Source organism: Homo sapiens, chromosome 2 (genome assembly GCF_000001405.40).
Source record: "Homo sapiens chromosome 2, GRCh38.p14 Primary Assembly".
Taxonomy (NCBI): Eukaryota; Metazoa; Chordata; class Mammalia; order Primates; family Hominidae; genus Homo; species Homo sapiens.
The window spans coordinates 188,234,315-188,251,480 of NC_000002.12; the positions used below are offsets into that span (position 1 = coordinate 188,234,315).

Sequence of the window (17,166 nt, forward strand, 5' to 3'; positions counted from 1 at the left end):
TATCATGTATAGCTTTTCCACTAAACCTGATTAATATATATGACTATTTTGTAATATATACAAAATATATATGTATATATAAATGTATATATGTACAGACCCTGTGAGGCATAAAAGCCAACCTGCCCTTTCCCTTTTCGAAGAGAGAGCACCTTCAGTTCACATCAGAGACTGTCTCTCCCTAGTTTGCAAATTGATATCACCAATAAAACCCCCCTTTCTACTATTTAGCCATCTGGTAGTCTTTTGGATGACAGGAGTTAAATTTTTTTATCCCTAAGGAAAAAGACTACAAAATGCATTGTTTGTTTTCAGAATGTCAGCTGCCTGCAATTGCTAAGTTTCTGTCACTGTCAGCTGGCTGTTTTCAGAATTAGTGGCAGAAAGTAGAGCTGTAATATGTAATTTTTGTATCACTTAAATATTCAATTAATAAAGTTCAGCATTGTGAGATGTGTTTTTGTTATTATTTCCAATTAAGCAACTTGTCTACAATTTAGAAGGAGCAGGTCGGCGTTACATTTTGCTAGCTACATGAGGATGTGTGTGTCAGAGGCGTGTGAACCAGAGCAACTCCATCTTGAATAGGAGCTGGGTAAAATGAGGCTGAGACCTATTGGGCTGCATTCCCAGATGGTTAAGGCATTCTAACTTACAGGATGAGATAGGAGGCCAGCAAAAGACATAGGTCATAAAGACCTTGCTGATAAGCAGGTTGCAGTAAAGAAGCCGGCATTACACCACCAAAACTAAGATGGCCACAAGAGTGACCTCTGGTCGTCCTCACTGCTACACTCTCACTAGCACCATGACAGTTTACAAATGCCATAGCAATGTCAGAAAGTTACCCCATATGGTCTAGAAAGGGGAAGCATGAATAATCCACCCCTTGTTTAGCATATCATCAGGAAATAACCATAAAAATGAGCAAACAGCAGCCCTTGGGGCTGCTCTGTCTATGGAGGAGCCATTCTTTTATTCCTTTACTTTCTTAATAAACTTGCTTTCACTCTATGGACTTGCCCCTAATTCTTTCTTGTGTGAGTTCCAAGTGAGGGTTCTTGGAACTCAGGATCAGTTCCAAGAGAGGATCAGGACCCCTTTCCTGTAACATCTTTCTGGTGACCACAGAAGGGACTACAGTGTGGAAATCCCCAGTAAGTGGTGGAGTACTATAACATCTCTCTGGCGACCACAGAAGCAACCACAGTGTGGAAACTCCTGACTCAAAGTCTAACTTTGGGTAAATGGTGGGGTATGGTAACATCTTTCTGGTGAATCACAGAAGGGACGATACTGAAGAGACCCCTGGCCCAAAGGAAAATCATTTGCACGCACCAATTGGCTGACTTTGGGTAAGCGAGGTGCATATACTAGGGTAAAGGATGGGCTTGTGTTAGAGGCCCAACGTAGGGGAGTTAGAGTCTCTCTTAAGACAGAGTGGGTTAAAGGCCCCTCTTAAAAAAGACAAGGAAACTTGACCAACCTTGGGTTAGAGACCCAACTTAGGAGGGTTAGAGGCCCCTCTCAGTAAAGTCCCTCTGTGCTAAGAATGGGTTTGGCACTCTGGGACGTTAACTGCTATTCTCTTTGGATCAATCTGCCTTGCAATCTTTGCTGATGGCTATAGGTGACAGGATTAGGCATGTACAGGATCATGGGATATTCTGCTCCCCCAAAAGGAGAAACTTGTGAGTGATGGGACTGCTGAAAAAAATCCCTTCACAACAGCAGCCACCTGAAGTTTTCAGTGTTGTTGCAATGGGTGGGTCTTTGGACTCCTGGAGCGCCTCACCTTTTGGACTCCCCACTTTGGACTCCCTGAGCACTTAGCCTTTTGGACTCCCTGAGTGCCTCACCTTCCCCACCCTGCCTCAGGCAACGCTTTCGCCCACCCCCCTACTCTCTCTCTCTTTTTCTCTGTGCAAACTGGTTGAACAGTAAAATTAACGGTTTATCTCCTACAAAGTTTTAATTAATTGGAAAAAAGAACTTATGAGGCTAGTCCTAAGCTGTAGCAATTTTGATGTGCCTTGTGTGTCTTTCTGTGTGTGTTCTATAATGGAGAAGGAAATCTTAGGATAGAACACAGGCTTAGGACACCTGTAAGCCCACTTTTCAAGACAGCCCAGCAAACCCGACAGTTACAAACTCTGCTGCAAGTCACTGAAAAATACTGGATGAGGTTTCCCTCTTTTTTGTATGTCCTTGGGAGCTTGACCTTGTAATCAAGTGGCAGTACTTTCTCTTGGTCTCTGCCATCACAAAGGCATCCCAGGTTCAGGGTTCAATTTCCCGCTTAGAGGATGAGTCCTTTTTCTTCTGTCTGTCTGTGTATTTATACGTGCTGTGTGTGTTATATAAAAGAGCTTTAATTGGTTTAAAAATAATAAGAGCTTAAATAAAATATTTTGCCAGAAAAGTAAAAAGTATAATGCCTTTTATTTAGTTCATGTGACTTTAGTAATCTTTAGGAAATAAAAACAGCTTTAAAGATTATTGGTAAAATGTAAACATTTGTTCTAAATTATGCAGGTCAGATAGTAAGTTTCCTAATGCTTTAAGTTCATAAACTGCTTCTTTGACTTTTGAAAATTGTTCAATTTACCTTCTTTAGAGACATTAGATTCTAGATAAGGCCTGGGGACATGTGGAGTTAGCCACACTCCCTAGCTATGCTGGAGTCAGCCCTTACCTGCACTTCTGCCTGGTGTGTCCTAGGCTAGGCCCCACACCTACTGCATAATTAGAATCCTGAACTTACCAAGGTTTTCACCAATAGTTAAGTCACCAAGGGTTAACAGTATACCATGTATTTGAGACTACTGAAGAAACAGTTCTACATGCAAGTTGTGTAAGGAAAGTAGAATGTACTTTTGGCAAAAGATTATAAGAAGGCATGGGAATGTGAATTTTTCTTGCCTACATTAAAGGGTTAAAGGATTATTTTAATTTAGTATAAAGCTGAAGGCTTAAGCAAATGGTGGAAGGTTTGTGAAAAATTAATTGTAAAAGAGATTCTGTGTGTAAACATATTGACTAAAGTTAAAGGGGTATTATACAGTTTTTCTGTAAATTATACATTGAAATAAAAGCACAACCGGTTTTTCTTAGAGTAAAAACTTGCTTATAATGCACTCTTTAACAAAAATTTGTAAAGGAAAGGGTTATAAAAAGTTTATCAAAATCTTACCTTATGGTCAAACTAATTAAGATTAAATACATTTGTCTCTAAGGTTTTATTAAAAATTTGGTTTGACATCAATAATGCACTAATGCAACAGTGGCATTTGGCTTACTTGGTATAAAAGTTATACAGGAATCATTGTCAAATATGAAATGGTGTTTGGCTTTTTTTGAGCTGTATTTGTATAAATGCATTATTGGTATATGTTTCAAAATTATGGGAAACTCCTATAATTTTGATATGACTTAGTGTATGTATTAAAAATTGTTACATAAAATCATTGTATGATACAGAGATAACCAAATTTTCTTGTCAATTGTGTCTTTGACTGTTGCTGCCCTAAAACATTTTGTCAGCCACAGACAATTGTTGTCTTGTTTTGGTCCTCTTTAGAAGGCAGTTTTTAGTCAACTATAGAGTTCTATCAGGTGTTCTTAAATGCAGGTTTCTGGTAACTTTGGAGATTATGACATCCGAATAAATGAAAAAAAATTAAGGATTCTCAGGGAGAGCTAAAATATTCATGAATATCAAACAGAACAGTAGTTAACTGCATGGCATAAACTAAATAAGTCTGAAGTAATCTTTGTGATTTTGCTTTAAACATTTCTGATCCTGGCCGGGTGCGGTGGCTCACGCCTGTAATCCTAGCAGTTTAGGAGGCCAAGACGGGCGGATCATGAGGTCAGGAGATCGAGACCATCCTGGCTAACACGGTGAAACCCTGTCTCTACTAAAAATACAAAAAAAAATTAGCCAGGCATGGTGGCAGGCACCTGTAGTCCCAGCTACTCGGGAAGCTGAGGCAGGGGAATGGCATGAACCCAGGAGGCAGAGCTTGCAGTGAGCCGAGATCATGCCACTGCACTCCAGTCTGGGTGACAGAGCAAGACTCGGTCTCAAAAACAAACAAAACAAATCCATTTCTGATCCTTTGTTTTGTTTTTCAGAGTCATGGAAACTTCTATTTTAAGCTATTTACAGCTTTTAACAACTGAGTAATGTATACTTCTGTGAATAAAATTTGAAGCATATTTGTTTCTCTCTACCTGATTTCTCCAAAATTTGGAAACTATTTGTGAGTGTTCTTAATTTATGACAATATAGTTATTTGCATAAGTGCAGTAAGCATCTGTTTGCTGTGATAACAGGACACAATTGAAAAAAACTGGATATTTTACCAAGGCTTTGACTGGAATGGTGTGGTTTCCTTTAAGGAATCAGACTTCACTTGTAAAACCAATAAAAGCCCTTTGGAGAACTGGCCTCATACCTTGCCTACACAATCCCTGTACAGGGTTTCTGACCTGTGATAAGTAAAGAATGTCACTTTCTAACAGGTCTAGGAGCCCTGGGTTATCTTGGTACCCCAAGAGGAGAGGAATTTTCCCAACTCATAGTTATTTGAGGGTACAACCCCATGGCAGGGCTCAGCGCTAAAAAAAAGTCTCATCTAAGATTCCTTCTAAGGAACAGAGTTCCATCAAAGCCAATTTCAAAAAAGCTTATGTAAGAAATAATTATTCTTCCTGCACTTTTACAAATAATTAGGCCAAGTATAATAAAATAAATCTGTCCTATCATGATTTGTCTTTAGTAAAAATGGGAAACTGGAGAGAGGAATTATGTTTCAAAAACTATGACACACTTGTTATTAAATTCTAGTCTCATGAGTTGTTTTTAAGTTTGTTTTTGCAATTTAGGTTAACCCTGCTTATTCCTGTGAACCAACCAGTGATTTCTGGATGCTATTCAGAAGAAACAAGAGGGATAAGTGATGTAAAAATCTGGATCAATATTCTAATCTTGGGCATATTGGAATCAGCTAGCAACCTCATATCAGCTTAGTTCCAACAGTTGCTCAGTTCATGGAAAGCCTTCTAATCTAGTTTACTTGGAATAATTTTACTCATTTTGTTTACTCTTGTGGAATATACTGCTGTTGTACTCTTTGTGTAGGAATGCAGGACAAGCTTACTGAATGTTTTCTTAAATTGAACACTTATTAATCTTCCAGATATTATCTTTTGTCTGAACTGGGAGTTATGAATGGCCCTCACCATACCAATGCTTTCTGACTGAGCTCCCCTCTACCCTGAAAATAAGAGACCCTAATAGTTAGGCAGGAATATGATTGCCCCTATTCAGCCTGAAGTAGTTACAGAAGATGGAGCTTTGTCCCTCTGCAACCCTTAGGATTAACAGTTGTCTTATAAAAGTGGCGAGGGTAGGGGGAGTGGGGGATGGGGGCATGGTGGCTCATGCCTGTAATCCAAGGAGTTTGGGAGGCTGAGGGGGTAGGATCACCTGAGGTCAGGAGTTCAAAACCAGCCTGACCAACATGATGAAACTCCATCTCTACTAAAAATACAAAAATTATCTGGGTGCGGTGGCAGGTGCTTGTAATCCCAGCTACTTGGGAGGCTGAGGCCTTGAACCTTGAACCTGGGAGGTGGAGGTTGCAGTGGGCTGAGAACTTGCTATTATACTCCAGCCTGGGCAACAAGAGCTAAACTCCATCTCAAAAATAAATAAATAAATAAATAAAAGAAAGGGATGGGGAAAATCTCAGAGGCATGTGAACCAGAGCAACTCCATCTTAAATAGGAGCTGGGTAAAATAAAGCTGAGACCTACTGGGCTGCATTCCCAGATGGTTAAGGCATTCTAACTTACAGGATGAGATAGGAAGCCAGCACAAGACATAGGTCATAAAGACCTTACTGATAAACAGGTTGCAGTAAAGAAGCCAGCATTATACCACCAAAACTAAGATGGCCACAAGAGTGACCTCTGGTCGTCCTCACTGCTACACTGTCATCAGCGCCATGACAGTTTACAAATGCCATAGCAATGTCAGGAAGCTACCCTATGTGGTCTAGAAAGGAGAGGCATACCCTACAACTAACGGGGAGTTACCCTATATGGTCTAGAAAGGGGATGATATGTTTAGCATATCATCAGGAAATAACCATAAAAATGAGCAACCAGCAACCCTTGGGGCTGCTCTGTCCATGAAGAAGCCATTCTTTCATTGCTTTACTTTCTTAATAAACTTATTTTCACTTTACTCTATGGACTCACCCTGAATTCTTTCTTGTGTGAGTTCCAAGACCCCTCTCTTGGGGTCTGGATCAGGACCCCTTTCCTCTAACATGTGGAGAAAGAGTATGGACATTTGAGTTAACTGAAACCATAATCCCATTTTTTTCCAATCATTGTGAGTGCCCTTCTTAAGATTGATAATCTACACATACCTGGCTGATTCACCTCTAAATCTAGTTCTGTCTACTTTATGGGTGGAAGTAGGTGAAATAATTCATGTAAAGATTTTAACACTGTAACTGTAACAGGTCTGTTGCCCGATGCACAAGGCAAGTAAATACGCAATACAACAGAGAAACAGGTTTAATCATAGGGCCACCAAATGAGGAGACAGGAGGAAACCTTAAATCCATCTTCCTGAGGAGTTTGGGGCTGGGGGGTTTTCAGGGTTTTAGAGGGCAAATGTATAGAGATTGTTGATTGATCCAAGAGTGCAGGGTGAAGTGATGGGACAGGGAGATGAAGAAACTGTAGTATGCTGATTCTGTTTCTTGGTGGGGGTCTTTAAACCAGTTGGCACCAGCTATTTCACTGGAATTTGGAATCTGAAAAGCATCTTAAACAATTCTTAAACAAAAGACATATGATTCTAATGTCAGAAGTCCTACCTATATTAAAGAAAAACCTTATGATTCTAAAGTCAGAAATCCCATCTATAGAAACAAAGGGAATGCAAATGTCAGTATCTAGTGCTACATGACTTTTGGTTACAGGAAGTGGGTCAAAGTGAAGCCTGATAAATGCTTAATTATATTTCTTTCCAGAATTCTCATTAACCCTGCAAGGTGATTTCAACACAGTGTTTGCTCCATAAATAGTAATCATTTTTACCTGTATTTATCCATATTTACCCATAAATATTAACTATGTATAATACGGATGTTTGAGGAGTGAGGAAGAGGCAAGTAAGGAAGAATTCAGGAAGAGGCTTCTGAGAGGAATAAGAACAAATTAGACTTCTTTGAAGTTTTGCCTGTTTTGTGGTGGCAGTCAACATGATCCACAAAACAAGTTGCATCAGACTTCCACTACTTCAAGTTTTCTATAAGAGCCATCATTCTAAAATGCATATAAGATCATGATCATCCTGAACTGGTTACCTTTAGCCAACAGAATAAAATCCGAATGGCTTAGAAAGGCTTCTATTGAACCTGAATTAATCTACAAATTTAATGCACTCCTAATTAAAATCTCGGCAGAGCTTTTCTGGGAGCTTGATGGGTTGATTTAAAACATATATTGCAGAACAAAACGGCCAAAAAAAGTGAAAAAAAATCAAGAAGAATAGAAAAATAGGAATATTAACCTGCTGTGGCCAAAATGTTGTGTTCCCCCAAATTCATTTGTGGAAATTCTAACCCCAAAGGTGATAGTGTTAAGAAGTGGGGCCTTTGGGAGGTGATTGGATTAGTGCCTTCAGAAAAGAAGTGTGAGGGAGCTTGTTTACCCCTTTCACTGTGTGAGGATACTGCCAAGAAAGCACTATTCTATAAATGAGGAAATGAGCTCTCATCAGAAATGAAATCTGCTGGTGCCTGTGATCTTGAACTTCCCGGTCTCCAAAATGAGAAATAAATTTCTGTTGCTTGTAAGCCACTCAGTTTATGATGTTTTGTTATAACATCCTGATAAACCAAGACATTGCCAAATCACACAAAAAAATTATTTTAAAGCTCTAGTATTTAAAATGGTTATCATTATAACCATACCATTTTAAATACTACATTGCAGGGATAGACAAGTGATTAATGAAACAGAATACAGGTATTTGATCATTGGCATTTTAACAAAAGTAAAATGATGAACTATTTTATAAATAGTGCTAGAAAAATCAGTAATTCATATGAAACAAAATGATCTCATTTTTCTATGTTATTTTATGTACAAAAATAAATTCCAAGTGAGTAAATATCTTAATATAAAAATCAACTTTTATCCCTTCTGGAAGTAAGGGTAGTGGCCTGTATTTAGGACTCCAGGTCAAATGAATTTATTAAACAAACATAAAATGTGTAATCTCCAATAAAAAAGATGGGTAACTTTGACTACATTAGAATTTAAAACTTTACTACTAAAAGTGACCTTATAAAATGTGAAAAGGAAAGTCTAACCATTACTAATATTTGGAAAATATGAAGGTTACCTACAAATCAATAAGAAAGAGAAAATCTAATTAAAGCAAAAACAACCATCAAAAAGGCTAGGAACAGGCAAACTGCAAAAGGAGAAACTCAAGTACCTAATAAGCAGATGAAAAGCTGCTCAATCTCTAGTAATTAGAGAAATAAAAAATAAAACCACAATAAAATGTGATTTCATATTCATCAAACTGGTAAACATTTTTTAAAAATGTTTCATACTGGAAAGAAAGTGAAGAAATAATTATCCTCATTCATTGCTGAAGGAAATACACATTTCCTCTGGAAAGAAATTTTGCAATATCTCATAAGTTGGAGGTGTACGTGATCTAAGAGTCAAACTTTCACTCCTAGGAATGTATCCTAGAGAAATTCTCACATTTTTTGTATAAGACATATGTATGAGAATGATTTTTTAAATCACTGTATGATATGTACGATATTATTATGTAGCACCCATTCTACAGTGTTTTACCTATAGTAACTCTTTTCAGCTTCACAATAACCCTCTGAAGTAGATCCTAATTTTATCCTCATTTACAGATGAAGAAATTGAGATACAAAAGAGGAAGAAATTTGCCATGTTCATAGAGCTGATAAGTGGTGAAACAGATTTAAAGCAGATAGTCTGGTCCCAGAGTCCATCCTCCTCACCCATATGTTATAACAGCTCATACGCCTAAAGGGAAAAATTTAGAAACATGTTAAATGTCCATCAACAAAGAACTAAATAAGTATAGTCATATAACAGAAAATTTTACAGTTTCACCTATCAACAAGGGCAAACTGGGTGTGGTGACTCATGTCTGTAATCCCAGTATTTTGGGTGGATGAAGTGAGAGGATTGCCTGAGGCCAGAAGTTCCAGACCAGCCTGGGGAATATACTCAGACCTTCCTCTTACTGTAGAAAAAAATAAAAAATAGAAAAAAAAGAAAAATAGCTGGGAGGGATGGCATGCCCCTGTAGTCTCAGCTATTCAGGAGACTAAAGCAGGAGGACTGATTGGGTTCAGGAGTTCAAGACTGCAGTTATCTGTAATATTGCCACTGCACTCCAGCCTGAGTAACAGAGCGAGACTCCAGACTCCATCTCAAAAACAACAATGACAACAAACAAACAAAAACACCAGAAAAATCTTGAAAAAAAAAGTTACAGATCAGTATGTCAATTTGATATCATTTATACATTTTTATACATTTTACACCATTTAAAAATAAATAAAATACATTATTTTTAGATATATATAATAAAGTGAATATGTTATATATAAGAATAATAAATATCAAATTCTCGTTAACAGAAGATATAATTTGAAGATACCAATTATACATCAATAAAGCTGGAGGAAAAAAATAAAGCAAAGAAATTAGTTTAACACCAGAAAGAAAAAAAAAAAAAAGAACAATTAATGAAGGAAATGGGGCCAGGGAGGAGTATAAGAAGAAATTTCAAATATATCTTAAGGTTAAAAAGAAAGAATTTGAAGAAAGCCTGGCATAACATTAATGTTTGTCAAAATTATGAGATACTCAAATGTTTCTTAAATTATTTTGCATAATTTCCTGTATGTATATTTTATAATGATACTACTACTTGTAAAAATCATAAAAGAAACTCAGCTTAGCACTCACTGTGCAACTTTCTCCTATTTCCTTGTTGCTCTAGATTTGTGAAGCAGGTTGATGTGGTCTTTCCAGGGAGGAAATCTCATCTACTCCTAAATCCGACTATCTTATTCCTAACAGTGTTTTCCATGTGGGCTCCTAAGGTTGTGACTCATCACATTGTGAGCTCTACTCTCCTTGCAATGGCTGCTAGATCCAAAGTGGCATGTAATCTTCGTCACATGTGGTGCCATCCCAGCTCTCCCTACCCCTGTCATTCTTGACTCTGATTCCTACCCCTGTGATCATGATGAGTTTCCTTGGGGAGTGTCTAGTGTCCTTTGTCCTTTTAAGGAAGGTCCAGCTCAAACCATAAGAGTGATTATAATAAAACTCAACCATAAAAGACAATTATTTCTATACCCGTTTTCCTTCAAGTCTCCTCAGGTATTATGCTAATTTTTCTCTATTCTTTTCAGAAGACTGAACATTTCCTGACAAGAAGATTAAAGAGACAGCTTTTATAAGGAAAAAATAGCAACTACAAAATCATCATCCTAAATTCATATCACTAAGAAAAAGACATGTAAGTGCTTCTTCTCCAAAAAAGTATGGTGTGCTTTAAGATGACCCACTGTCCATTCCAAAACTGAGAAGGTATTGACAGCTTTTTAAAATATATATATTATATATATATATACATACATATACACACACACACACACACACACACATATATATATATATATATATTTTTTTTTTTTTTTTTTTGAGACAGGGTCTCACTTATTGCCCAGGCTAAAGTGCAGCAGCACAATCACAGCTCACTGCAGCCTCAACCTCTGGTGTTCCAGTGATCCTCCCACCTCAGCCTTCCTAGTAGCTCAGACCACAGGTGTGCACCGCTACACCTAGCTAATTTTTGTCTTTTGTACAGACAGGGTCTCCCCATGTTGCCCAGGCTGTTCTCAACCTCTTGGGCTCAAGCGATCCTCCAGCAGTGGCCTCCCAAAGTGCTGGGATTACGGGCATGAGCCACGGCACCTGGCCTGACAGCTTTTAAGTAGTAGTACTGATTTCTTAGTTTCTGACTAATCAGGTTCCCACCAGTATGATTCATCCATATTTTAGAAAACCTGAGTGTGGGTATGATGATATTCTGTCTCTACCTTTCGAGTCATCTGCAATTTTAAAGAGATAATTTTTATTATTTTATAGAGTCATTTTTACACAAATTTACACTTTAAGGGAAAGGAATTATGTTCCCACAGCTCAATTTCAGGCATCATTGAGCAGGTGGGAGATCTGCCCCCTTTTTCTGTTTTTGTTTAATTAAGGCTTTGACTTTACTTATGTCTCCATGTAAGACACTCTTTTACTCATGCATTTTATTTCACATAACTAATTCAAATTCTTTCATTTCAACATATATCACTTCTACCTAATTAATATTTATATCCATATAGGAAATAAGTATTTAATATTTGTCTGTTGTAATTTTTTTTAAAAAATCGATTCATCTCTTTATACAATACTATCTGAAATGCAAAACAGTATTGGTTTAATAAGCTCTCACACCATTTCATAGAAAATTACCTTTATCATTCCTGTCTTTCTGTATTGGGATAGAATTTCAAAAGGTAAAATAATATTGTTTTTATGATGATAATGTTATCATAAAATAACCTAACATTTTAAAAGCATTTATTATTTCAGATGTTTTTCCCTCTTACATGATACAGATTTATTCTATATAATTAAGTCTACAGTAATTAATCATACAAGAAGATAAACTGTGCACATTTATTTTTGAGAAGGCAAAAGGGAGCCTCATCTGTGGTGTCCTACACAGTTTAGTGTCTTTTCAGAAATATTTCAAATTCCTTTGGGCCTGTGACACACTTTATTTTACTAACAAAAAAGGCAAGGCAAACAAACTCCCTCCAACCATTTTTTAAAATAAAATTGTAAGACTCGTGCACAGAATGTTTTTGGCAGAAGTCAAAACTTTATTATTCTCCCAACAAACTTCTTGAGAGCTTCTTTAATGATTGTGATATAGGCTCTGCCACATACCTGGCGATAATATGTGTTTGGCAGATAATATCAGGATATCATCTGAGTGCATGGCTATTTATGTTAGAAGTGCTTGTACCTAAGAATCATACGGTTTTATTATAGAAACATCAATGTTCAGCAAGCTCTAGATATAGCTATGATTTAATAATGTTTATCTTTAATTGATTCAGTAAACAGTTGTCAAATGCCTGCTATATGTCAGGGAATAAGAGCTAAGGAAACAAAACTAATAAAATTACTTTCTTGATTGAAGGAATCTCAGTTTCATGAAGAAATAAATATGAATAAACAAGAACAAAAAAGAATAATATTACACATAATGAGGTGGATAAAATTTTATTTGCCACAATGCCTCTATGGTAGAGTGTATTATTATGCATAAATACTCACTGTCCTTTCTGTTTGAAGAAGAGAAATCATAGCTTCCTTAACGTATTGATGCCATATGTGCCTGCATGACTTGATTAACTAATGAGACATGAGGTTAAGTGATGCATATCACATAGGCCAACATGGAGTTTATCATTCTACTTTCCTTTTTCCAAGGAAAAAGGAAAAAAAGAAATTGACTATTAGCATTTCTGCTAGAAGCAGCAATATCTTCCTGAATCTTCAAGTAAAAAATACTTAGAATCATAGCTGACCTGGATTGAACATGTAAGGTGAGTGAGGACTAAACTTTTGTTACTAAGCCTCTGAGACTTAGGGATTATTTGTTACTTGTTATGGTTTGGCTGTGTCCCCACCCAACTCTCATCTTGAATTCCCGCATGTTGTGGGAGGGACCCAGTGGGAGGTAATTGAATCTTGGGGGCAGGTCTTTCCCATGCTTTCTGTTCTCGTGATAGTGAATACGTCTCACGAGATCTGATGGTTTTAAAAAGGGGAGGTTCCATGCACAAGCTCTCTTTTCTTGTCTGCTGCCATATGAGACCTGCCTTTCACCTTCTGCCGTGATTGTGAGGCCTCCCTGGCCATGTGGAACTGTAAGTCCAATAAAATTCTTTCTTTTGTAAATTGCCCATTCTCAGGTATGTCTTTATCAGCAGCATGAAAACAGACTAATACGTTGCTGCAGCATAACCTATGCTATCTGGACTGATACAATCCCTTGGAGTTGCATAGCACGTGTTTTAACAAAATGCTCCAATAAGCCCCTGTGAAGTAAGATTGGAGCCTCTGAAGTCACAGATGGAACTTCACTAAGAGGACTACGCCACTCCAGTTGAGATTCAAGGAATTCATTTGCTGTTAGTAAGATGGACCAATACTATTAGAATTAGGGGTAGAAAGGAGAGGTAGCAGAAGATAAGAAAAAAAGCCACATAAACACAAAACTACAGAAAGCAAAAAACTGCCTAAATATGAGACTGCTGTGGGAGCAGGTGGAGAATATCAGGGCTAGTGATTTGCGTTTTTACAGGCCTCGACATTAACTTAGGTACCACTATATAGTACTAAATTGTTAAGCACTAGGCTACTAGCATTAAATTACTCTATGACATATTTCTCTCCCAGAGTGGGACACAAAATAGATGTGGAAAACAAACAGAAAAAAATCCAGAGCAAGGTACAAGCTTCCCATGTCTGACTAGCTCTACTTGCCCACATAATTATCACATCCCTGCTCATTGACTGATTCCTGTGATTTGTGTTGGCAAGCTGGCTTGCTTGAAGTTTATGGATTGGTTTGCATCCATTTAGAGATCAAGGAACATAAAGCATAATCAAATATATGACACCATATAAATATATACATTTTGGTAGAACTACTTTGGCATAAGGCCTAGACATGTTTTTAGGTTCCAACAATTGCACAGTTGGAGTTTCCAAACAATCGTAAAATATAGCCAGAATTTTATTTTATTTTTTTTTGAGATGGAGTCTTGCTCTGTCACCCAGGCTGGAGTGCAGTGGTGCGATCTCTGCTCACTGCAACCTCCGCCTCCCAGGTTCAATTAGTTCTCTTGCCTCAGCCTCCTGAGTAATTGGGACTGCAGTTGCACGCCGCCACACCCGGCTAATGTTTTGTATTTTAGTAGAGATGGGTTTCACCATGTTGCCCAGGCTGATCTCGAAATCCTGAGCTCAGGCAATCCACCTGCCTTGGCCTCCCAAAATAAGTATAGCCAGAATTTAATGCTATTGCAATAGAGGGATAGAGAACTACCTCCAATATATGTATTTCAGTGTAGCTCTTTAGAGATAGTGCTATATGTTTATTTATTTTCTATCTTTTTAGTAACTTTAGTAGTTGAAAGTTTGGGATGAAAAATGGAAGGTCAGCAATAATAACAGATGGTGCTGTCTGCAAATAGTGCAGGACAGTAACTAGTCAAATATCACGGACAACATTTCTTCAGTCATTCCACGGAATATGTGAATTGTAATCTGTTCCTGGCACTGAGCTGAGCTTAATTTTTGGTCCCTGTGAACCATGTTAGAGCTCCCAGTCTTGTGGAACAGCAAAATATTTAAATTCACAATGCAGAGAAGGCCTTTTTCTTCTCATTGAGAACAAACCAGTCTAGAACTGATGACTCTAATACTTATACCAAACTACCATGCCTTTATAGATTTCATCACTTAGTATGTGGATCATATAGAAACTCAATAAGATATTTTTTATATTTATGCTTTCTGTCAGTAAGATAATAATGTGGATAATTTGATATTTGAATTTATCTGATCAAAGTTCATCACAAAATTATTTCAGCATTTTATATTATCTCTCAAGCACACCATTTATTTGCTCTTTGATTTTATTTCAGAAGTGTTGATTTTGATCATATCTGAAACATGTATAATTCCAATCCAAGTAAATTCTAATTTATGTGGTTCATTTCACAATCTTTAGGAACTTAACTACAAATAGTAAAATAGTTCAACGTCTGTAACTTTTTTGATTATATTAATTAACTTTAAGTTCTACAGATTTTTAAATGAAAGATTTTTAAGGAAAAAAATCTGTAGAAACAGGAGGAAGAAGAACATGAAAGCACAAATAAAATCACAAAATATTCTTAGATACAGACAACTCTTGATTGCTCAGAAAATTAACTAGTTTCAGATATTCTGAAAGAGCTGGCTAGGGAGTGGGAGGGTGTTAAGGAATCAAGCAGGTGATATTTCTCAGTTTGCAGTCAGTAATTTGGAGTTTAAGCTTTAATGTCCCCTTTACTACCTCCTATAAGGGTTGCTAATCAAGGATAATTACCCAGATTATAAAGCTTTTTCCTGGGGAGATAAATGAACAGAAGAAGGACACAGCTGCAAAACCAGGATGAGCAATGCTTCTCAGACTTTACTGTGCCCACTAATCACACGGAGATTTTGTTAGAATGCAAATTCCGAGTAAGCAGATCTGGAGCTGGGCCTAAGATTCTGCGTTTCTAACAAGCTCCCACCTAATACCTACGCAACTGATTCTTGCATCACACTTTTTTGAGTGGCAAGACTGGACTTAGTTCTAATGATGTTTTATCTATGACTTCCTCATTATTGCAGTTAATTGAGTATCCACTCTATTTTTTCTTGCATTAGCAGAATTGTTTATTTATAGGTGATAAAATGATAAAAATAATACAAATCTCTTTACTTATGTTTCTAATCTATTATTTTGTTTAAATGGAGTAGAAGTCGGAAGAATGAAATTGAGACAAAGGTATTTTTTCAAATAACCATTTTAGAAAAATTAGGTAGCAGAAAGAAAGAAACATCTCTTTATCCAAATGATAGCTTGTTTTTAATTTGGCCATATAACATTTTTATTTAAAATATCAAAAATAATTTGTGTAATAGTCAGTTTAGTCCTATCTAGCTAGTTTGCTTAGAGCAATTTAAATTTTATGTCTCCACCTGTAAAATAAATAAATTGAATAAAATTAGTTGGATTACCTTAAAATTCTGAAATTGTATAAGGACGTTTTTATACTTTTACTTAGCGCTAACATAAGTTAACACTGATCAGTGAATCTAGTAAAAGTTTGACCTCAAGTCCTAAAAAATCAAGTGTGAAACAATATAGAAATCTGATATCTTACTGAGAAACAAAAATAGGATAACAGGCTTGAATGCCAGCTCTGCTCCTTCTTGACTGAGGAACTCTGTTTTGCTTCAGTTTCTCATTCAATAAAAAGGTGAAGGAAAACTGAAAATGTGTTGATTAAATTCTTTAAATTGCTGATGAACTTACAAGGCTGAAAATGAGAAGCAATACAGCATGGAAGATTTTTCCTTTTTTTTCCTTTTTGTACACCTCTGATAGAAGCCTCAGATAAAAGTAAAACTCCCAAAATTCAATGTCATTTGTAAATTAATCCTGACAACTACAGAGGGTGAATAAGAACTGTCAGGTTTTATACTACTATGGTAGTCAAAGCCAACTACAATGCTCTTCTAAAAGAAAGGAGGTATTCTTAATAGAAACATCAATTTTGAACTTTATTATTAAGGCAATATTTAGGGTTAAAAAGTAGTTTACTAGTATTGTTTGGAATTTACCTTTGGAATTTAAAGTATTTGAGAAAAATCACGTGTAGTAAACCCACTTCTGCTTCTGGCTAAAATGAAGTAATATGGACAAGATGTAACTTCATGACTGAAAAGAAAATTTTAAGAATCATACAAAAATTATGGGTTTTTAAGACATTGGAGATCCCCTAATTAAAGACAGTGATCTTTGAGAGACATGAAACAAATGAGATGAGGCTGATAATTGCCCTATCTTACTACCTGGAAAGACTCATTGGGCCTCGATGCCAGGACAGGAAACACAGGAAGGACTTAATGATCTCCCTGATATGAGCAAACTGAGTTGGGAGTCCAGGGAGGTAAAGGTGGCTAGAGTTTTCAGGGCTGGGTATGTGACAGGAATGAGCTTCATAGAAAGAAGCTTTAGAGCCTTGGCCTACTTAAGTTCTCTGCTGAGTACTGATTAGTACATCCATGTGAAGAAACTACCCAAGGCCAAGAAAAGAGCCACCCAAAAGGATTAGAGGGAATAAACCCAGGAGTTAACACATAGCCAGGAATAGTTACTTTTACCAAAAT

At 36.8% G+C, this 17,166-nt stretch overlaps 1 long non-coding RNA gene across 1 annotated transcript in view, besides 2 other annotated features; it reads right to left on the reverse strand.

Moving 5' to 3' along the window:
• Positions 1-17,166, reverse strand: part of LINC01090 (long intergenic non-protein coding RNA 1090) — a 252,096-nt gene that overhangs the window by 198,719 nt on the left and 36,211 nt on the right. The gene's annotated exons all lie outside the window — the stretch shown is intronic.
• Positions 971-1,060: an enhancer, noted in NCBI's record as "active region_16845". NCBI's record gives its function as "activates an Ori minimal core promoter by ATAC-STARR-seq in GM12878 lymphoblastoid cells {active_cell/tissue: GM12878}" and the evidence as "EXISTENCE:reporter gene assay evidence [ECO:0000049][PMID:35858748]".
• Positions 9,095-9,295: a silencer, noted in NCBI's record as "peak3994 fragment used in MPRA reporter construct". NCBI's record gives its function as "represses an SCP1 promoter by STARR-seq MPRAs in K562 erythroleukemia cells {active_cell/tissue: K562}" and the evidence as "EXISTENCE:reporter gene assay evidence [ECO:0000049][PMID:32103011]".